Source organism: Homo sapiens, chromosome 3 (assembly GCF_000001405.40).
Source record: "Homo sapiens chromosome 3, GRCh38.p14 Primary Assembly".
In the NCBI taxonomy this organism is placed as follows: domain Eukaryota; kingdom Metazoa; phylum Chordata; class Mammalia; order Primates; family Hominidae; genus Homo; species Homo sapiens.
The window spans coordinates 195132901-195154113 of record NC_000003.12 but is presented as its reverse complement, the minus strand read 5'-3'; the positions used below and the strand labels follow the sequence as shown (position 1 = coordinate 195154113).

Sequence of the window (21213 nt, the reverse complement as noted above, 5' to 3'; positions counted from 1 at the left end):
CTGCCCTGCTCATGTCTGACTAGCTACCTACTGTAACAATACAGGGAGCCTCAGAGTCCCAAGCCCTAGATACTAGTCCCAGCTCTGCCACCTTGGGGCCTTTGTTCCCCCACCTGAGAAGGAGAAGAGCTGAGCTCTAAGTCCCCGCTCCCCGGCTCTGGCATTGGGGGTTACAGCCCTTCGGACCCTCATTGTCCTCCCTCCGTCTGGAAGTTGCCTGTCTGCTGGTGAGCTCTTCAGGGATCGGGGAGAACTGACGTCATGGGGTGTTTAAACTGGGCTAAGTATTAAATGCAGTTACAGCGCCAATGCCTTCAAGGCCTGCTTTGGAATCTTCTCATGTGATATAAATGGAAACTTGGAAACCCATCGTGCTTAGACAGGATTGGCCAGAATTTGTATTTTCTGTAGATCTAGGATTTTATAAACAGTGCAACTTAAAATCAGTTTAATTATCTGGACTTCCTGAAAGAAAGCTCTGAAAGATTTTAGATTCGAAATGAAACTGAGTTTTTCTAACCCTGAGCATCTTTAATTTTCATTATGTACTATGATAACCATGAGACCTCCGCTGCAGCAGAGTCTGAAGAATGGCGTTTGCAGGGCCTGGGCACTCAAAAATCAACAGAGACTTATACTCCTTTTCATGCTCCCTCCCTCCACCCCTCAGCTGAAATGTTTCCAGAGACCTTTAATAATGGAGTCTGCAGATGACAGCCCTGCACTGCCTGCCGCGTGCCCCGCTGGCTCTGGGGAATTGCCTTGTAACGTTTGCAGTCTCATGCTGGGGCTGGGAATGGCTTGGTACTGGCTGGCCGACAAGGAATTGAGCATGTTTTTTGCCTTCTTTCACAAGAAGACTGGGGACCTCTGGGGACCTGGGAGATCCGGCATTAATTATCTGCTGCTTTGGAGTGTTCACCTGGCTGGCAGTGGGGCTAGGGTGGGGAGGCTGAGAGAAGGAAGAGGATGGGAATGGAAGGGGAGAGAGGAAGCAGGGACAGCGCAGCCCGCCTTTCTCTTGAGCAGGCGGTCTCGGCCCTTGGGCTTGGCCATTGCTGCGGCCGTCAGACTGCTTCCCACAGAGGTCCCCTCTTGCCCCTGCCTGGGACTTCCATGGAACTGGCAGTGGGCTCTGACCACCAAGGGGTCTCCCCAGAGAGGGGAGTGAGGTGGACAAGTGTTTTATTTTAAGAAGAACATGCTAGCATCTATATGAAAGGAAAATTTAAACACAAAACAGCACAAAACCAAATCTTGACTAGGTAAGCAGACACATTTTAATCTGGAAACTTGCTGAGCAGGAATAGATTTGGATCTCCCCAGCTGTGTCATTTTTATAGTCACTTGTCCCATAGTTACTTTACCTCAAAAGGGCACATTTTAAGTCATTTTTATGGCAGTCTCCTCTGTATTGTGTGCCATGAGTGTTGTTAGAAGCTTGGAGGAGGTGCGGGAGGAGAAGTTATTCCCCACTGTCCATTTGACAAATAGTTTTTTTCACATTGTTTCACAGTTCCCCCTCCCCAGATTTTTATATTTTCTGTATAAATCTTACAGGATTTTATAATCCTAGGTCCATGGAACTGACAGTGTGTTCTGGAAAGTGACACAGGGATCGTGGGATATTAGTGTAGGGAGAGAGGAGCCTCTCTCTCTCGGGTCCCTGTTGAGATTCTGTTGCGTCCAGCATCCGTGACCTTCCCCATCTGGAAATCATAGCGCTGTAGTCATCTTGGATGGAGCGTCACCCTTCCTTTCTCTGACCTTTTCTCTGTCTCTTCATCAGGAGCTAAACCCCTGGACAGGTCCTCAGTGGTGATGTGTTTAGTTGGGATAAGGGGCCAAGAGGAGAATCTAAAAGATAGACAACTGTATTTTGTAAAGATGTGCCATTTTGAATTTGTTTCCTCATGAAAGTATTAGAAAAGTAAACGGCTGTGCCCTCTTTATGTGCAGCCTATAACAATTCTAAAGGTGTGGCAGCAGGCGAAGAAGCTTGATGTGGAGGAAATAGCATTCGGTCGTACTCAGAAGTGAATTCCCCATGTGACACTTTGTGAGTCACTGGATTCTCTGACCCTCTGTTGTTTGGTCTGTAAGTGGGATACATATCTCTAACACAGAGAATTACTGGAGAACTCAAATGAAGTAATAGTGGAAGTTTCTGTTGTGAGAGAGACCCTCATTAAAGAGCATTTCCCCTCCGTCACTCCCTCCCTCCCTCCCTCCCTTAATCTTCACTCCTCTTTTGTGTTTTCTTTACCAGTCGCTTTGTTCCTCTGGGCTTCTCCTAATCAATCCCTCCCCCAGGCATATAGGGTTGCCATTTAAAATACAGGGCACCCAATTAAATGGAACTTCACATAAATAACAAATAAGTGTTTTGTATGTTAAATATGTCCCAAATATTGCACAGGACATACTTATACTAAATAATTGTTATTGTTTATTGTTTATAAATAATCGTTTATTTATACTAAATAATTGTTTATTGTTTATCTAAACAATTATTTATACTAAATAATTGTTTATTGTTTATTGTATATTGAAATTTAAATTTTTTTAATTTTTTTATTTTTTAAAGACAGAGTCTCTCTCTGTTGCCCAGGCTGGAGTGCAGTGGCACAACCTTGACTCACTGCAGCCACCGCCTCCCAGGTTCAAGAAGTTCTCCTGCCTCAGCCTCCCGAGTAGCTGGGACTGCAGGCAGAGCCACCACTCCTGACTAATTTTTGTGTTATTAGTAGCCATGTTGGCCAGGCTGGTCTCGAACTGCTGACCTCAAGTGATCCGCCCGCCTCAGCCTCCCAAAGTACTGGGATGACAGGTATGAGCCACCACACCTGACCCTGAAATTTAAATTTTAACAGATATCCCGCTTTTTTCCTAAATCTGGCTGCCCACCTCTACCCACGATTGTAAAACTTCCCTTTTTAGCAGCAGCAGGTGATCTGGCTCTCCTACAAGATCCTGGAGTGAACAGGAACAAAGGGGACGGAAGGGGAGCTTGCAGGGAAACCAGGGTAAGAGAGGGAGGGGGTGGGAGGCAGCCCTCAAGGTCTCTGTGAGGCTCCAGGCTTGAGGTCACCACTCTGTAGAGTTAGGAAGCCCAACTGTGGACTGGGTCATTTGGGGAGGCCACTGGGACCAGGAGGCCTGGTCATGGCTTGGCTTCAGGCTTCAGGGCTCCTGCTGACCCTGGAGTGATGGAGAGAGAGAGAGGGAGAGGGAGAGGGAGAGAGTGTGTGTGTGTGTGAGAGTGTGTGAGAGAGTGTGCGTATGTGTGAGTGTGTGTGTATGTGAGTGTGTGAGAGTGTGCATATGTGTGTGAGTGTGTGCGTATGTGGGCTGTGGCCCTTTGTTATGGTCACTTTGTGGAGCTGGCCGCCTGAGGATCCTCTGAATGGGAGCTTGTTGGTGGCGGCATAGGCTTCCGGTTTCATTCTCCCCAGGCTCTGCGGGCAGCCGTGTGCTGTGTGAGCCCCGGCCCACCCTGAGGAGGAAGCGGCAGGCTATTCCTGTCAGCTGCTGATAACATGCCACCAGGCGGGAATTCGCTTTTGTGTTAAGTATTTTAATCATGTCCGCTCGTTCACCTTTTTAAGTCACATGGTTTTATTTGCTGATGGTGCTGTGCCAGCCTCGGGTTCTTCCAGACGCTCGGAAGGAAAGCTTCTCTGCAGGCTGCGTCATCCCACTCCAAGGACTGGTGCTGGGCTCCCAGGGGAGTGTTGGGGAGGGAGTGAGCGCCAGCACAGAGGGAAGAAGGGAGGGTGTGGACTGACTACCTCTACCACTCAGTTGCTGTGTGACCTTGGGCAAGTCTCTTGACGTCTCTGAGCCTTAGTCTCTTTAGCTCATGAGAAATGGAGATTATAACACTATATGTGGCAGAGTTGAGGGAGATTGAATCAGATAATGTATTTATGGTGCCTAGCACGAGCAGCACTCCTGGGTGGTGGTGGCAGCGTTATCCACAGTCCCAGCTTGGCCACTGATAAGTTCTGTGAACCTAGGGAAGTCACTTAACCTCAGCCTCAGTTTCCTTATATGTACGGTTGGGGCTGCTGACAACTTAGCAAAATTATTGCTCATCTTTTGGCTTCTCAGCATCTTAACCCCTTTCCTAGAATTTGGGAATTCTCTGCCATAGAAGCCTGCCTCCTATTATGGAAGACAAAAACGCTGGATATGTTATCTCCCGGCTTCCTCGCAGCTAGCTAGGGTGTTGGTACTGTGTTTCCCTCCTTCCCGCTTCTGCGGAAATTACCATCATACATTTATTAATAGTGTCTTATCTATACAGACCAGTTTTTATGGCTTTACCCTAAACATTGTAAGGTATTTGCAAAACAGAAACAGACAGTATTACAAAGAGAAAATAACTAGTCCGCAATAGTGAAGAACATTTTAATATCCCAGAGAATATTGGAAACCAGGGGATCAAAGATGGGGGGAGGGACGAATGTAGATTGCAGTATAGTTGCAGCAGAGGAGGAAGGGACGAGGACAGGGGGAGAGACCGAGGACTGTGCCCGAGGCAGCCCCCACTCCCTGTTTCACTGAGCCTGGCTTCCACTTTCCCCCGTGCGTGGGGTGTTTGGTCCCTGCTACGCTGCACAGAGGGTGAACATCTGGCCCTTTGCTTGCTTCCAGGTTCCAGCCATGGCTCTAGCCCTGATCTCCAATATGGTTTCTGTTCTGTTCCTGGCCCATGGAGATGTTTATCTCATTTTCAAGCCGACTATGCCCTTTCCTCCTGTTGCCCCCCCATCGGATGAAAACAATTGTTATCTAAAACTCATCATTAAAAAGTGATACATTTTTGTTTTGAATAGCATATGGAGGTTATTATTTTTCCAGAAATTTTCTATATTTTTATCAGGGGGTGTGTGTGTGTATATGTAAATAAACTCTCTATACCTTTGTACATCTTTTTTTGTTCACTTAACAGTGTATCTTGACCATCCTTATACCTAAGTCAGCCTTCTTTGATAAATGTTGCTGGTCTCTTGGTATGATTTTTCTTTTTACTATGAAAACCTTTCAACATATACAAAAGTAGAAAGCATCATGTAATATTTCTGGATGCCCCAATATTATAATATCCATGCAGCCTCAATAACTATCAGCCCTTAGCCAATCTTTGTTTTATGTCTCCTCCCACCCACTTTTCCTCTTCCCCTGATTATTTTGAAACGAATCTCAGTCGTCACAGCATTTCGTCTGTAAATGTCATTTTCAGTCTATTAGTTTCTTAAAAACACATCTGCTGTGGCCGAGTTTAGAGCTGAGGAGAGTTATATGAGCTCATAGTGTCACTCTGTCTTCAAGTTCCTCAGTCTGAAATCAGTTGGTACAAGGGAAGAAAATAGAGAGAGGCAGCACTAACCTCTAGCCAAGCACACTTTCCATCTCTCTGCAGATTGCCTCATGTCAGGATGTTAGCGTGACCGTCACGTCTGGAAGGCTTTATGGCTGATATAAATTCAGGTCCGTTGTTCACTAGGCATGAAGCCCTCCGTTGTAAGGGAACCAGCCATCACCCTCATTACGAGATGCATAAATGTAGGACTTGAAGATAAAAGCTATTGGGTTCTTTTCGTCTCTCTGACACCTGAAGATGAATTTCTTGAACCTTGTTCTCGTGTTTAAAAAAAAAAAATTAACCAAGATTGAGCCTGTCAGTTTCTATCAGAGTTAAATCTGAGTAAAGGAGAAAAAAGCTTGCCACCTTTTAAAATAGTGATTCCTTCACTCCCTGGGAGTTAGAAAACTGGGCTAAGTGTTTTTGTGTAGCCCGTGTGACCTGGAGGCCGTGCTATAACCCCTGCAGGAATTACTCATAAAAAGGGAGGGATGTACCTGCCCTGTGGTAGAGATCAGAAGTCTACTCTGAGGTTGTTATTTTTAAATAACATCAGTGGAAAAGGTATTTTAAAAGGAAAACTCTGTACAGAGAACCCAAGCGGGATTGTGTTGCTGTCATTGTGACCGTCTCTTACCTGATGGCTCTGCCTCCCGGGCAGGCTAGGAGCTCCGGGATGACGTCCCAAGACTCGGGCGCATAGCGGGGGCTGCTGAAGATCGGAGTGTGAGGCTGAGAGATGAGGTCCAGGTGGAGCACGTGAAAAGCTTCCTGTGTCTGAAAACACGACTCCTTCCAGTTCTTTTGTCTGTCTGCACATTATGAGTATTTTGGTACTACTGAATCCGTTTTTAAAAGTTCACCACGTCGTGCCTGACACAGGTGTCTCCTGAAAGAATGAGTGAGGAAGTGAATGCGTGGAAGGGGTGGGACTGGGAGGCAGCCCTTCTGTTCTGTTTATGCCGTGCAGACCAATGCCAGGCACTTCGATGTTTGTTGAGTGAATGCAGGAACAGATGTGTAGTCAGAGGGCGTTTCCTCCGCGGTGCTGGCCAGCTGCTAAGTCAGGCTCTGTAGTCCCATTACTGGTCTTAGAGAAGTTACTTTCACATTCAGTTTTTGTTTGTAAAGACAGTCCATGGGAAAGTTTGTTATTCTCAGTTTGTTTGTTTGAGACATAGTTTCTTTCTTGTCGCCCAGGCTGGAGTGCAGTGGTGTGATCTTGGCTCACTGCAACCTCCGCCTCCCGGGTTCAAGCGATTCTCCTGCCTCAGCCTCCCAAGTAGCTGAGATTACAGGCGCTGACCACCATGCCTGGCTAATTTTTGTATTTTTAGTAGAGACAGGGTTTCATCATGTTGGCCAGGCTGGTCTCGAACTCCTGACCTCAGGTGATCCACCTGCCTGGGCTTCCCAAAGTGCTGGGATTACAGGTGTGAGTCACCATGCCCAGCCTATTCTCAGTTTTTTATTTGGCTCATTGTGTGTGTGAGCCATAGGATTGGTCCCATGAGGAATTACGAAGTAGAAGACATGCCTCTTGCTTTCAAGGAAGATATAACGTGAGGGAGATAGGGTAGATAAAACTTAATGAAAACGCAAATGCCTGCGGTGTCAACACTGAGTCAGTACTGCTGTTTAGAGATATCCCATGGACAAGATACATAGACTTTTTGCTGTAGGAACTGTAAATTTTACTGAGTGGCTCACCTCTCCCTCAGCTTAATATTCTGCCTTCAGCTGGGCATGGTAGCCTGCACCTGTAGTTCCAGCTACTTGGAAGGCTGAGGCAGGGGGGTCACTTAAGCCCAGGAATTCTGTGGGTGTCTGCACTAAGTTTGGCATCAACTTGGTGACCTCCTGGGAACGGGGGACCACCAAGTTGCCTAGGAAGGGATGAAGCAGCCCAGGCTGGAAATGAAGCAGGTTAAAACTCCTGTGCTGATTAGTAATGGGATTACGCCTGTGACTAGCCATGCACTCCAGCCTGGGCAACATAGCGAGACCCTGTCTCTAAAAAAAGAAACCAAACAAACAAAAATGGAGTTCTGCCTTCAAAATGCTAAGAAGTGGGTATCACATTCCCTTCTTTCCTCTGAAAAGTCTCTCGGAGTGGTGTTTGGCTTTGCAATGCAGGCGTAGCCTCTAAGAGTGCTCTTGGGATAGACCAAACTCTGTGCCCGAATAGAAAGCTCACTGGGCAGGCATTTGCCGAGGGTTTGGCTATGCAGTAGAGAGAAACCAGACCCTGTCCTCCAGGAGCTTGCAGTGGGACGTGGGTCTGGACAGGGCTACAGTGGAGGCACAGCGGCGGATGATGGGCCCGCAGGACTGTGTGCTTTGTTGCATTGCTGCAATCTGTTTCCTATGCCAAATAAACATCATCGCATTGAAAGAACCTTATTTGTAATCCAGGCAGCAGAAAGGCTTATCTGTAAGCATCTTCCTGGGGAAAAAAAGCAAAATAGCACAGTTGAATCCCAGTGGCATGTGTACAAGAGGGACCTTCTGTAACAAACCACGTGTGGAAAGGACTGAGCTGAGCGTGACCAGCCCCACATGAAGGGAATTTCTATATGGCTCCATGGCCATCTCAGGTGCAGACTTCAGCCACAGGACTGCATTTCTTCTGTGGGTTCCTAAGTGAAACGGATCTGAAGTTCCCATCCCTCTGCTTCCAGGGTAGCAGCAGAATTGGCTCTTATAGAAATATCAAACTTTTAATCTGAGCCTGGGGTTGAATTGAACATCTGTCTCCTCCTCCTGCCTTAGGTGACTTCTTTAAATGAGCTGCTTACTGTTGATCATAGAGAACCCCTGTGATCTTCTATTTCATGGTAGCAGAATTGACTCCAGCATCAAGGAGCTGCCCAAAGGAGTGTTTTGATCCAGGAACCCAGCCGTCTGCCTTTTGGGGACTGCTCTATCACTGTTTGTAAAAGAGGAAGCTGAGCCAGAATTGGCGTAGTATGTCGTGATTTGCCTGGATGTCTGCGGTGTCCTTGCGTCTGTAGACGAGCGCTCATTATGAGGCTGGTGGATTCTATGGACTTTCAGAAATGTGAAGTCACAGAGATGCTCGCAGGGCCCCATCAGTGCCGGTCACCGTGGAGTGAGGTGCCCGTTCATGTGACTTCACAGAGATGCTCGCAGGGCCCCATCAATGCCGGTCACCGTGGAGTGAGGTGCCCGTTCATGTGGCTTCACAGAGATGCTCGCAGGGCCCCATCAGTGCCGGTCACCGTGGAGTGAGGTGCCCATTCATGTGGCTTCACAGAGATGCTCGCAGGGCCCCATCAGTGCCAGTCACCGTGGAGTGAGGTGCCCGTTCATGTGACTTCACAGAGATGCTCGCAGGGCCCCATCAGTGCCAGTCACCGTGGAGTGATGTGCCCGTTCATGTGGCTTCACAGAGATGCTCGCAGGGCCCCATCAATGCTGGTAACCGTGGAGTGAGGTGCCCATTCACGTGGCTTCCACTTGATCTTCCTTGGCTCTGTTAAAAAAACAAACACAAACAAGCCCGCTGCTTCTCTCAATAAAATCAAGCCCAGTCTCTGCATGGAAATCCTTTCCTTTGCTGCTAGGACCATCCTATGTTGACCGGCCCAAGGATCACGAACTTGGAACTCTAAAGAAAGCAGGATAATTCTAGCTCTTCACTTGGGTAGCAGTGAACAGGACTTTCATGTTCCTGATGATGTATAATTGCAGCTCATTGGTATTCAGCTTTCAGAGAGCCTGGAAGATTGCGTCTAAGCAAGGTAGAGACATAAGGGTGAATCATATTATTTACAAAGAATAACCAGAGCAGAGAAAAGGCACCCCTATTTCTTCTGCCGGTACCTTCCTGCCAAGATGTTGGCAGGGTTTAGGAGGGGTACGGAGTGTGACCTTGGTCTTGCGGGCCACTTTTCTACTCACATCTCACACCCTTTTAGCTGCTGCCCAAGGTTAAAGGCATCACACAGAGGATCAAGGAAACACACTTCTGCATAAAAGGAGTAGTAGAATCCTTGAGGCCCTTTTGGTGCAGGGGAAACTGAAACAGAAAGGAGGAACTGTTTGGCCGGGCACAGTGGCTCACACCTGTAATCCCAGCACTTTGGGAGGCTGAGGCGGGCGGATCACGGGGTCAGGAGTTCGAGACCAGCCTGCCCAATGTGGTGAAACCCCGTCCCTACTAAAGATACAAAAAATTTGCCAAGTGTGGTGGCACGTGCCTTTAATCCCAGCTACTCGGGAGGCTGAGGCAGGAGAATCACTTGAACCCGGGAGGCGGAGGTTGCAGTGAGCCGAGATTGCACCATTGCATTCCAGCCTGGGCGATAGGGCAAGACTGTGTCTCAAAAAAAAAGGAGGAACCGTTTGACCCCCTTTGCCAGCCAGAATCTGGGAGAGATTTGTGGATGAAAAAACCCACAAATCAACCCCAGGAATACCTGGATGGCATGTGATTAGCCAGCCATTTGCACCGATCAGATTAGAAGAGGCCCAGTCCCCGGTCCACATGCCATATCACACTCGAGATGGAGTGGAGTGGGCGGTTGGCCAGGCACGGTGGCTCATGCCTGTAATCCTAGCACTTTGGGAGGCCCAGGCAGGTGGATCACTTAAGGTCAGGAGTTTGAGACCAGCCTGGCCAACATAGTGAAACCCCGTCTCTAATAAAAATACAAAAATCAGCTGGGCGTGGTGGCGGGTGCCTGTAATCCCAGCTACTTGGGAGTCTGAGCAGGAGAATTGCTTGAACCTGGAAGCAGAGGTTGCAGTGAGCCAAGATCTCGCCCTTGCACTCCAGCCTGGATGACAGCAAGAGTCCATCTCAAAAAAAAAATAAAAATAAAAAATAAATATATATATATATATATCTATATCTATATATATCTATATATATATCTATATCTATATCTATATATATCTATATCTATATATATCTATCTATATATATATATATAATGAGAGAACATTTGGTTAGCTCTCAAAAGAAAAGGTGATCATCTAGTAAATGTAACATACTGCAACAGGTACAAGAAGAGCCCATATGTGATTCAGAAACTGAGGGTACAGCCTGCAGCAGTTTAATTTCAGGTAAATGCCTCCAGGAAGTAAGACACGTTTTTACAATTTAAAAATGGATTGTAGAAGAGAGGAAAGGAAAGCAGTTGATTGAAAACCCTTCTGTGCCCTGGCTCCTGGCTAGTGTTTCTGATGGTTCTGTGTTTTGTTTTGTGTGAATGTGGGCCCAGTGTTACCAGATGTTCTGATTTGTTTTCTTTTCAAAAGAAGCCGGAACTCTGTGTTGTTAACGTAAAAGCTTCTGATTTCAAAATATCGACAATTAAGCAGACAATCTGCTGGCCAAAAAACCACATCTGTGCACCAGACTGAGCCCAAGAATGGCCAGGTTGAGACCTCTGGTTTAAAGGATCATTGAGGCAAAAAACTGGCCAAATGCTCCCACCGTGGGCTGCACCCCGCAAGGCTTTGGTTGGCTGCTCTTGGGAACTGACCCCTAGAGTTTTGTTTAGGGGCACTCCAACTTTGTTTTTTCCCAACATTTTCTCCTGTTACTTGAAATAGCTGATTTTTATTGGTAATTGAAAATTCCATCAAATGTTTCTCTACCTAACCTCAGATTTAGCTAATAACTAAATGTCAAGGCCAAGCATAATTCGTGTCCAGAAATGCAATTTTGAAAGAAAATGAAAAGATCCCCAGACTCACCATTTTTAGAGGTGCAATTACTTTAATTGTCTGAGAGGTCGAATGTGTATAAGAGCATCTTTAAACTCCTCTCGGTGCCCGAAGATGCTTTTGGGAGGTTGAAGGCCTGGCCAGGGAGGAATGGAGGGAGAGAAATCCAAAGGGAAGAGAGAGAAGGAGGGAAGGGAGCAGCCTGGGCGTGATGTGGCAGGTATATCCTCACTGCTTCCCACTTCACCATCCTCCCTGTTCGGCGCTGCCTCCCAAGCAAGCCTGGGCGGGCTGGCCGCATGAAGACCCCAGCGTGCATACGCACCCCAGCCCCAGCCCCGGCTGCCTGCTCGGCGGTGCCATTGAGGGCATTGCTAATGGCATCACAAAGTGGCCTCTTTGATGGCCCATCTGAAAATGGTCTACAGTCAGGAATAGTTGTATTTCTCCTGGATAACTTATTTTTTCCTTCTGTACAACTAATTAGGTGGCCCCTTTTTTCAGTTGACTAATAGAAAACTTATAGCTGAATTTGTGGTACACCTACAGCAGGCTTACGGTTCTCATAGGATACATTTTGGTGTCTTTGCCAGCTAAGGTAAGTTCCTTCAGGGACAAAAGGAGGGATAAAATTGGAAGAAAAGGAAGGAGAGGGGGAACCAAAGTGTGAGCAGTCTGAATGAGACCCTGCCACCGAAGACTCCATTTTCTAGATCTGCCTGCCCACCATAGTAAGTAAAGATAAACATCATGAGAAATAGTTACCATTCATATATTGTTTAAACTAGAACACGTTTGATAACAAAGGTTGGGGAGGGGGCACTAGGACAACAAGTGTGACCCAGGGCTGTCCCAGGCCTCGGGAGACACCAGCAAACCTAAGCTTGATGTGGTGGAGCAGGGAGGGTCGGAAGAGGAGAGACTGGGGAGGGAACCAAGGCAGGGGAGAGAGGCTGTGGAGGGCTTACATATTTGGGGTCAGAAATAACCGCTGGGGTCAGCATCGTGTTCTCTATGGTTGAAATAAGGAGATAATCAAAGTTGTGATTACATGAATCACGTGGTTTATTGCTACACAAAGAGATTTTGTTTTCCTTTGGTTCACAATGCCTAAAAAGGGGCAGAATAATGAGAACAATTCTCTCAGGGAATGCATTAGCCATGGAGTGAGTGGCTTCCAAAATTACTAGAGTCTAGTCGCTCAATTAGGCGGGAAGCAGCCCTCTGTGGGAAGTAAAGTCTAACTAAAGTGTGAGGGGTACCTTTACACAGGTGGCCATTGGGAGAGATGACCCACACAGTGGAGATGCTGGACAACACGTTAGATTCCCAGAGCATTGGCTGGCTGGCGCTGGCTGGCAAGGGTTCTGAGATTTGCTCAAAGGCTAATGGAGTGTGACCCCACTGAGCTCTCGGTCTTTGAAGAGGCGGTTAAGAGTGTGGCCTCATTTTGGCATAAACTTGCCACCTGAGAGAGGTGGCTGGCAGTGTAGCCCTGCCATAGCCTGAGGTCTTAGAATGTCAAAGCCTTGAGTTTATACGTAATTTGAAGCCCAGTAGTTGAGGTCATATACGGGGTCTTATAAGATTTGATGATGTAACATTTTCTCTCAAGGGGAAGGAGAGTTCACTCCAAGTTCTTATCATAGAAAAACATATGACACTCACGTAGCAAACTATGCAAGTATTTGGAATTGTTTCAGAGCCACGTAACACAGTGTATCTGGACCTATCATCTGTTAGAGCCGGAAGGGGAGTGTTGGACTATTCTTGCACTGGAATTTGGCTTTTGACTGGACTTTCAAGGTAAAGAGTAAAAGTGCCCTGACTGTATAGATGAATCTTACCAAGTGTCTTAGTTCAGGCTACTGTAATAAACACCATAGATTAGGTAGCTTATAAACAACAGAATTTATTGCTCACAGTTCTTTAGGCTGGGAAGTCCAAGATCAAGGTGCTGGCAGATCAGGTATGTGGTGAGGGCCTACTTCCTGGTTTGCAGATGGCCGTCTTGTATCCTCTTATGATGGAGAGAGCAGAGGTAGGGAGAGGTGAGGCAAGCTCTCTCATGTCTCTCATAAGGGCACTAATCCCATAATGAGAGCCCCACCCTCATGACCTAATAACTCCCCCAAATCCCCCGAATACCATCCCACTGGAGGTTAGGACGTTGATATGGTTTGGCTGTGTGTCCCCACCCAAATCTCATATTGAATTGTAATCCCCATGTGTTAGAGGAGGGGCTGGGTGGGAGGTGATTGAATCATGGGGGCAGACTTCCCTCTTGCTCTTCTCGTGATAGTGAATGAGTCCTCATGAGATCCAGTTGTTTAAAAGTGTGTAGTGCTTCCCCCTTCTTGTGCTCTCTCTCTTTTGTTCTCACTCTCTCTCTCACTCTCTCTCTCACTCTCTCTCCTGCTGCCATGTGCAGATGTGCTTGCTTCCCCTACACCTTCCACCATGATTGTGAGTTTTCTGAGGCCTCCTGGCCATGCTTCCTGTACAGTCTGCAGAACTGTGGGTCTATTAAACCTCTTTTCTACATAAATCAACCCAATCTCAGGTATGTCTTTATAGCAGTGTGAGAACAGACTAATGTAGACATCAACATGTAAATTTGGGTGGGGGCCATACATGCTGTCCATAACAGTAAGGGTGCCTCCCACATCCTCTGCTAGTCCGTGCCACCTCCGGAGCTGGTATTTGGGCATGGGTTGAATAGGAAGGATTAGGCTTTCTCTATTGGGTGGTGCTAACGTTGCCTATAGACTAATTTGCTAATTTTGAGAACTAACCACTGGGATTTGGCCATAATTCCATGCAGAAGGAATCAAGGAATCGAAGTTGAGATGAGGTAACTCTGCTCAAAAGTGTAAATGCTTTATTGTCACCATTGATTTCTGGCTGGTCTCAGAAATTCCCAAGAGCTGCTTTTAGTGCACATTAGCTACAAGTCAGAATCTCACCAGGGCTGCACCCTCTCAGCCTGTGACTGTAAAAGGATGACTCACCTGTGTTCATGTACTCCAGAGAGCCTAAAGATGTCTTGCAGAGAGGGTGTTGCTCCCTAGACCAGCACGTAGGGCTCGGGAGATGTCGCCTTATGCCTCCTGGATGGGCTTGTATTATGTCTGCCACAGAATCTCCAGAAGCTGGGAGGGGTCCTCATCTGGGAGAAGTCCATAGGGACTGTTGGTGAATACAGCCAAGCCCAGCCCACCCCAACTCTGTGAGGGGAATGGAATGGAAACGCAGGCTCCCATTGTGAAACTCACCTATGTGTCCTGGCCCTGGCATTACCCAAGATAAACTTAGGAGATTCATGTGGGCTTGGCCTCAGTCATGGGAGTGTTTTTGGGAAGGGGCCTTTGTCTTATCATCTTGGCACATCTGAGCTTATCTAGTAAAGAATTCCACAGTTACTTCTTCAGGACCTGCTAAGGGCCAGGCTCTGAACAAGCCACAGACCCCACCCTCAAGAGGTATATAGCCTAGAGGGCTGGCCCCATGCCTGCAGCTGAGCGGCTGAGCACACTGTGAAAGCGTCCGTGGCTGCACTCCTGCGACGTGGAGGTACCTTTGCCAAATGTGACTGTGGACAGAGATGAGAGATCCGTAAGCAGCAGGCCTTATGTCCTTCCTGCTGCCTATTCTGACTCTGGGGGCCTGGTTCCCTCTCCCTGCCTCCACATCATTTTCCGCCTCTTAGAAGGTCTTAGCCAGACTCTCTGCTCGACTTTCAATTTCATTTCACATCAGACGTAGTCTCCTGGGTCACTAGCAGCTCCAAGCTCTGCAGCCAAGGGACTGTCTACCCGGGAGCTTTGCAGCCAAGGGACCGCCTACCCACTTCCATGTCCCCAAACTAACTGATGACTCTCTGTCTCCAGCTTTCCTGAGCACCTGCTGTATGCTAGACATTGGACTAATTTTAAAAGCCGAACTCCTTAGCCTGACACTGGGGGCAGCTACTCCCTCCCTGCACCCACCTCTCCTCTCACCAGCTCCCCTTGTACTTTTGTTTCAGCTGCACTGAACCCCTGGCTGTTGCCCACACAGGTGTCTTCCACACTTGGGGCCCTTGAGGATGCTCTCCCTCTGTCTAGGATGCTCTCTCTCTGACTAGGATGCTCTCTCTCTAGCCCATTTTTCTTTCTTTCTTTCTTTCTTTTTTTTTTTTTTTTTTTTCCTGAGGCAGAGTCTCACTTTGTTGCCCAGGCTGGACTGCAGTGGTGCAATTTTGGCTCACTGCAACCTCTGCCTCCCAGGTTCAAGCAATTCTCCTGCCTCAGCCTCCCAAGTAGCTGGGATTATAGGCACCCGCCACCATGCCTGGTTAATTTTTGTATTTTTAGTAGAGACGGGGTTTCACCATGCTGACCAGGCTGGTCTCAAACTCCTCACTTGTGACCCACCCGCCTCGGCCTCTCAAAGTGCTGGGATTACAGACATGAGCCACTGCACCTGGCCTCCAGCCCACTTTTCTATATGCCCTGCTCATTCTTCGAGGCACAGGTGAGATGCTGCCAGTTCCATAAAGCCTCTCTGAGGGCCGCCTGCACCCAGCTGTGGCCCTCACTCCTCAGGCTTGGAGGACAGACGCTTCCCATGAATGCGTGTCTCCCTCTGCAAGGCTATGACCTTATTAGTCAAGGACCAGGCCCTTGACTAGTAAAATATTGCCCAGCCTCTCCCCTCCTAGTCTCACAAATCCAGTCTAGGTAGGGCCTGGCACGGAAACCATTCCTCCAGCCAGTGTCCAGCTCTCTAATTACATCTTGTAGTTTTAAGGCTTGGTTATTATTTTCAAATGATGGCATGAAGCGGAGGGAACTGAAGTCCCTAGCAGGAATAAAACCAAATCACTTAAATTTCCTGGGAAGATAACTTGCTTCTCTTATTGCCATTGTGGAGATAGACTAAAATGTTGGCAAAGTTTCTGTCATTGAGGTTGACTTCTGGCTCCATCACTTACTGGCCAAATGACTTTGCGAAACATACTTAAACCTCTTAAAGCCTCTGTTTCCTCATCTGTGAAATGGGGAGACACCCAGCATATGGGCTATAAAACGAGAACCTCCCCTTCCATGGCATATTTGAGATCTGGGACTCACATGTTGCTATGCAGGCAGAAAGGGTGTGTCTGATAAAGCCTGCCTGCCAGTTCTGACCTGCAAGGGTTTATGACCCCTCTCTTCCTCCTGTTTGAGAATCACTGGCCTTCAGGACCTACTTAAGGGTACTCAGTAAGTAGCTGAGAATACAATGATGTCATGTACACATGACATAATACTAAGCACAGAGCAGCTCCATCAGAGCCCTCTCCCTTTCTCCGTGTCCGATACAAGCCATAACTTTCCTTGGTGCTGTGAAGCCAAAGCAGGCAGTATTTACAGAGCACGGAGAGGTTAAATGTAGAGTGCGCAGCAGCACCACCTCTGAAGCCAGAAGGAATTTGTCCTGGCCTAGAAAGGGAGTGTGCTGTGCAGGAAGGAATCACCTTCTGCCTTGGATGAAGCTGCCACTAGCCCCTTTCTCTTCACGGTCTTTGAGGTTACAGGCAGGTGCACACCCTTACCCCACCCTTTACCCATGTGGGAAAACATGGCTTTGTGCTCTTATCCATGGTGCAGAAGACCAGTGCCGAAAGCCCAATGGCAAAGGTGCAGAAACTGTGGCCAGATTGGAGCTGACCATGTGTGGTTTTGTAAATTGCCAGCTGAAAATAGCTTCCAACAATATGGGGTCAAGGATTTTTGAAGCACCATTATTAAAGCATCTCAAACTTCAGTTTGTAATGCCCCTGTCCCTACATGTCACCCCTTCCCCTGCCCCAGAAGAAAAGTGTCACACCCCACTTTGTTTCTCCCTCCACTTTTTTCTTCCCTTCAGTGCCCCTTCTCTGTCCTGGCCCCCACAGCAAGCTGATGAGGCACCTGGGCACTGTGGCAGGCTGTACCTGTATGATTGAAGGATCCCATTGGCTGCCTGCAGCTAAGCCTAAGCTTGTGGACAGCCTCCTAGGACTCGAACGAGTTGCAGTGTAATCATCTCCTTTTAGACACTCAATCCTGTGCTCATTTCTCAGTTTGAGAACCTGTTTTCTGGGTCCAGGCCTTTCTGATGAAGGTTTTTACCCTTCGACGCCACTTCTAAAAATGGTCTAAAACAAAGAATAAGTTATTTATCTCCTTGGACCTCTGCTTGTTTTTATTTATTTATTTATTTTTCTTGTCCAGGCTGAAGTCTCCATGCCCTTTGACAGACATGCAGTGGCCTTCCTGGCAGCTCCCTGCGTCCTGTGAGCTGCCCACTTCACCTTGTGTGCTTCTGGCCAGGGCTTATAGCAGTGCTGTCGTCCTGTGTGCTTGAACGGTGCTCAACTGTGTGCAAATTGGTTTTACATTCATATTTTAAATTTGCTCCTCATACTAATTCAGTGACATAAGAACGCAGGTGGTTTTATCCTTGTTTTGTAGAAGACACTAAGTTTTCGGTAAGTTGCGTTCACCCGGGGCCGCTTGGTCAGGACTAGAACCCAGGTTCCTGGGCTCAGTCCCCTGCCTGTCCCCTCTGCCCCTGAGGTCCTGGAGTGATGGTTCTTAGACCACATCCTCTATTTCCTGAATTAGGAAATAGCAGCTCTTGAGATGTTTTGCAGTCTCCTACCCAGCCACCTTATAGCCTGGGTCACTGAGTCCCATTTATTTTTTTGGGCCGGGGTGGGTTGCAGTATACAGGTGTATGTTAAAGATAGTCTTTTCATTCAAACCTATAGGAGCACTGAGGGTCCTACGTTGGCGTTTGAGCGCTGTCCGAGTGGATCTCTCATCTCTGTCCACAGTCACATTTGGCAAAGGCTGCATTTCTGCTCTGACGTGTGGGGCTCTCTCCAGCAAAATGATGTTATCGCTTTTCCTCCCAGCATGGTGACGGCCCTGGTGATGCTGTGATCAGTGTGTAATTAAAGGCAGCCGTGCATGGCTGCTCTCAGACTGTTGCTGAGGGCTTCTGATCATTGGGAAATCTCAGTGGTGTAGGTTTTAGTGGAAACTGTATCCAGCCAGGCCATTCATAGCTTCTACACCATAGAGGGAATGTTGGTCATTATCAGAGGGCATGGGTTTCACTTTTTTATGTCTGCAGCCTGAGTCGGGTGAACCTTTCTCTTACCCTAGGGAAGCACTAGAATAATGCCTGCCTGCCTACCTGACTGCCGTCCTGCCATCCCCGTCTGTCCATCCGTCCATCCATTTATCCATCTAAGGTGACAGCAAAGATTTACTGTAGAAAATCTCTTTCCCACAGTAAAAACCTCTTTTCTACAGTAGAAAGCTCTTCCAGTCTGAGTTTCCGTGTCTGCCCCTTCAGTCACAGGAACCCCATCCTGCTATGTACTGCAAAAGCAGCTGACTTCTGCCACAGTGTCATTCCCGTGGGTCTCAGCCTCCTGGTGCTGAGGCCTAGGGACTGTGTTCCGAGCCAGCCTGGGTTCTCCAGGGAAGTGTGGAGGTGCCCAGTGTGTCATCTGCCCTGGAAAATGGAAGCCACTTGTACTTCACTGTCCTCCCTCCCATCTCCCAACACCCCTTTCTCTTCACTGAAATGCTGAACAAACCTCCCTGCCCCTGCTGACTGACTCTTTTTTGATAAGGGGATGGAAAGATAGACTCAGGTGCCTCGGGTCCAGTCCCTTCCTATCCACCTTGGTTTCCTCCTGTGTAAAATGAGAAAGGTGAATTGAACTATCTTTCCTAACTCTAGCAGACCATTATAGATTCTGTTGATATCGTCGCAGAATTCTGGGAATGGGAGGGACACCGAGGGTATCTCGCCTCATGTTGGATTCCGCCTGCAGCATCCCAGATCTGTCAGTCTCAAGCGGATCACCTCCCACAGTGGGGACGTGGCCACTTTCAGAGCAGCCCATTATTTGATGATTGGATGAGTTTGTTAGAATGTCTTTCTGTCTATTAAACCTAAAACAATCTACGCCCCTGTGGTTTCTACCCATTGCCCCTGCCAAACATACTCTGATGCCAAACGAAAACATGTCCTCACACCTTTCCCCACAAAAGTCCTTCAGATACTCAGATTTACAGAAAAGCTCTTATTTACTGAGTCGTCTTTGGAAATAGCTGATAGCTCTTTGCACGTGCGCGCACGCGCGCACACGCACACACACACACACACACACACACACACACACACACACACACCCCTCTTCACGCCATGATGCCAGCCAGTGGGAAATACGGATGGAAAGCGTTTCCTCTCTGCCAGGCTTCCAGAGGCAGGGAGCAGGCCTGTCTGGAGGAACTCTATGCAGACATACATTTCTTACCGGGGAAGCCAGGGCCCCAGCTTGTAGCTTTCTCCGAGTCCCTTCCTGGCATCCTGAAGATTAATCTTGTCAGCTGCTGGGAACACAAATGTGTGTGCTGATTCATTACAGTAGCATGGTATACAGGTCTGTAGCCTGGGAGCAATGGGGTGTATGGTATAGGGGTAGCCTCGTGCTCCTGGGCTACAAACCTGTACAACATGTTTCTGTACTGAACACTGTAGGCAGCTATAACACAGGGGTAAATATTTGTATATCTAAAAATACTTAAATATAGAAAAAGTACAGTACATAGAAAGAGTAAAACATGAAAAATGGTGCCTCTGTATAGGGCATCTACCATCAGTGGAGCTTGTAGGACTGGAAGTTGCTCCGGGTGCGTCAGTGGGTGAGTGTGAAGGCCTGGGACGTTACTTTGCACTGCTGTAAGCTTTTTCTATTCAGGCACCTGTAGGCTATGCTAAATTTATAGAAATAAATGTTCTTTCTTCAAAAATAAATTAACCTGAGCTTACTGCAGCTCTTTTCCTTAGAAACTTTTAAATTTTAAAAACCTTTTTGACTCTTGTAATAACACTCAGCTTAAAACACAAATATATTGTACAGCTGTACAAAAATTTCTTTCTTTCTTTCTGTCTGTCTGTCTGTCTTTTACTTGGCAGGGGTCTCACTATATTGCCGAGGTTGGTCTCAAACTCCTGGGCTCAGGCGACCCTCCTGCCTCAGCCTCCCAAAGTGCCAGGATTACAGGCATGAGCCTCCACACCCAGCCAAAAGTAAATACTTTTTCTTTTTATCCTTATTCTGTAAGCTTTTTTCCATTTTGTAAGTTTTTAATTTTTTAAAACTTTTTTGTTAAAAACAAGCCAAACACATACATCAGCCTAGGCCTGCACAGGGTCAGGATCCCCAAGACGTCACTAGGCAATGGGGATTTTTCAGCTCCATCATGATCTTCTGGCACCATCCTCTGTTCGTGTGTTCTGTCGTTGACTGCAACGTCGTCACGTGGTGCGTGACTGTATACAATGCTGCATGGCAACAAGTTGCCGAGAGTGTGCATCTGGGAGCGTTTGGCACAGCAGCTCGTCCGCCTCTGCTTGTTAGGCGTAGCAGAGGTGACTCAAATATGAAATGTTTATCATGCTGGAAGCTGAACATCTAGTTTTCTTGGTGCAGACACATTCATTTTTAGAGTTCAATAGATGCTGTCACTTATGGGACACATTTCTCCTGAAGGTCTTTGATCACATTTGCCTGTAGAACTTCCAGAAACTCTTGGACACCTATTGAATTCTCCAGTGTTTTCCTTCTTACTTGAGAAGAAAGTTCCCACCCTTCTTCCCCCTCTCCCACTCCCCACCCCAAGGGCTGGCTCAGTTATCCACCTGCCGATGTCAGCTGCTGGTACTCCAGGGCCATTCAGGAAAAATTAATTTTCCTTTTTTTATCAGAGCGTTGGGACTTGCAGCCATCTGTCTGCTCAGCAGGCGGGGCACCTGGGGCTTCAGCCGTCTTTCTCTTCACATTTCATGCCCCTTAATCTGCCTGATTCCTTCTCTTGCCACCCTCCTTCTGTCAGGTCCCTGAGACCATGCTGGTGCTTACACTTGCCCACCACCTCCACCCCAAGCAGGGTTTTTTATTTATGATGTTGTAAGCTTTTGTTTCACTAGAACTCAGCAGGACGATTCAGTTTACAGAATGTAGTTACTTCTGCCCTTGTTAACCAGAAAATCTAGTCCATCAGAATATATGGTTTTGGTAGAAAGAGAATTGTGCATGGAATTAAGCAAATACT

The 21213-nt window shown here is 47.5% G+C and overlaps 1 protein-coding gene, 2 long non-coding RNA genes, 1 other non-coding gene and 1 pseudogene across 10 annotated transcripts in view, besides 8 other annotated features; 4 read left to right on the top strand and 1 right to left on the bottom strand.

Moving 5' to 3' along the window:
* Positions 1 to 21213, top strand: part of XXYLT1 (xyloside xylosyltransferase 1) — a 202876-nt gene that overhangs the window by 117046 nt on the left and 64617 nt on the right. Inside the window, exon 4 of one of the 6 annotated variants that reach the window (XM_017005749.3) lies at positions 8144 to 9500. The exons of the other annotated variants lie outside the window; for them this stretch is intronic. Within the exon in view, the coding sequence (XP_016861238.1) occupies positions 8144 to 8147 (4 nt within the window). The 3' untranslated portion in view covers positions 8148 to 9500. Of the gene's footprint in view, positions 1 to 8143; positions 9501 to 21213 lie in introns of those variants that run through there. 6 annotated transcript variants of the gene reach the window in all.
* Positions 270 to 910: an enhancer, noted in NCBI's record as "OCT4-NANOG-H3K27ac-H3K4me1 hESC enhancer chr3:194873933-194874573 (GRCh37/hg19 assembly coordinates)". NCBI's record gives its function as "activates a minimal SCP1, AML or CMV promoter by ChIP-STARR-seq in naive H9 embryonic stem cells {active_cell/tissue: H9 hESC(naive)}" and the evidence as "EXISTENCE:reporter gene assay evidence [ECO:0000049][PMID:30033119]".
* Positions 911 to 1552: an enhancer, noted in NCBI's record as "OCT4-NANOG-H3K27ac-H3K4me1 hESC enhancer chr3:194873291-194873932 (GRCh37/hg19 assembly coordinates)". NCBI's record gives its function as "activates a minimal SCP1, AML or CMV promoter by ChIP-STARR-seq in naive H9 embryonic stem cells {active_cell/tissue: H9 hESC(naive)}" and the evidence as "EXISTENCE:reporter gene assay evidence [ECO:0000049][PMID:30033119]".
* Positions 1258 to 6243, bottom strand: XXYLT1-AS2 (XXYLT1 antisense RNA 2). 2 transcript variants are annotated; one of them, NR_102710.1, is made up of 2 exons: positions 6009 to 6243; positions 1258 to 1872 (listed from the first exon to the last, which is right to left on the bottom strand). It is a non-coding gene; the product is annotated as an XXYLT1 antisense RNA 2 (long non-coding RNA). The 2 variants fall into 2 exon arrangements; NR_102711.1 differs by having other exon boundaries at positions 1258 to 1857.
* LOC105374296 (uncharacterized) lies at positions 2804 to 4843 on the top strand. The gene is made up of 2 exons (XR_001741088.2): positions 2804 to 3026; positions 3456 to 4843. It is a non-coding gene; the product is annotated as an uncharacterized LOC105374296 (long non-coding RNA).
* Positions 3688 to 3897: an enhancer, noted in NCBI's record as "active region_21049". NCBI's record gives its function as "activates an Ori minimal core promoter by ATAC-STARR-seq in GM12878 lymphoblastoid cells {active_cell/tissue: GM12878}" and the evidence as "EXISTENCE:reporter gene assay evidence [ECO:0000049][PMID:35858748]".
* Positions 6126 to 6175: an enhancer, noted in NCBI's record as "active region_21048". NCBI's record gives its function as "activates an Ori minimal core promoter by ATAC-STARR-seq in GM12878 lymphoblastoid cells {active_cell/tissue: GM12878}" and the evidence as "EXISTENCE:reporter gene assay evidence [ECO:0000049][PMID:35858748]".
* Positions 6416 to 6525: an enhancer, noted in NCBI's record as "active region_21047". NCBI's record gives its function as "activates an Ori minimal core promoter by ATAC-STARR-seq in GM12878 lymphoblastoid cells {active_cell/tissue: GM12878}" and the evidence as "EXISTENCE:reporter gene assay evidence [ECO:0000049][PMID:35858748]".
* Positions 7111 to 7386, top strand: RN7SL36P (RNA, 7SL, cytoplasmic 36, pseudogene; annotated as a pseudogene).
* Positions 14071 to 14570: an enhancer, noted in NCBI's record as "H3K4me1 hESC enhancer chr3:194860273-194860772 (GRCh37/hg19 assembly coordinates)". NCBI's record gives its function as "activates a minimal SCP1, AML or CMV promoter by ChIP-STARR-seq in primed H9 embryonic stem cells {active_cell/tissue: H9 hESC(primed)}" and the evidence as "EXISTENCE:reporter gene assay evidence [ECO:0000049][PMID:30033119]".
* Positions 14571 to 15072: an enhancer, noted in NCBI's record as "H3K4me1 hESC enhancer chr3:194859771-194860272 (GRCh37/hg19 assembly coordinates)". NCBI's record gives its function as "activates a minimal SCP1, AML or CMV promoter by ChIP-STARR-seq in primed H9 embryonic stem cells {active_cell/tissue: H9 hESC(primed)}" and the evidence as "EXISTENCE:reporter gene assay evidence [ECO:0000049][PMID:30033119]".
* On the top strand, positions 19534 to 19608 carry MIR3137 (microRNA 3137). The gene has a single exon (NR_036089.1). It is a non-coding gene; the product is annotated as a microRNA 3137 (primary transcript).
* Positions 20606 to 20685: an enhancer, noted in NCBI's record as "active region_21046". NCBI's record gives its function as "activates an Ori minimal core promoter by ATAC-STARR-seq in GM12878 lymphoblastoid cells {active_cell/tissue: GM12878}" and the evidence as "EXISTENCE:reporter gene assay evidence [ECO:0000049][PMID:35858748]".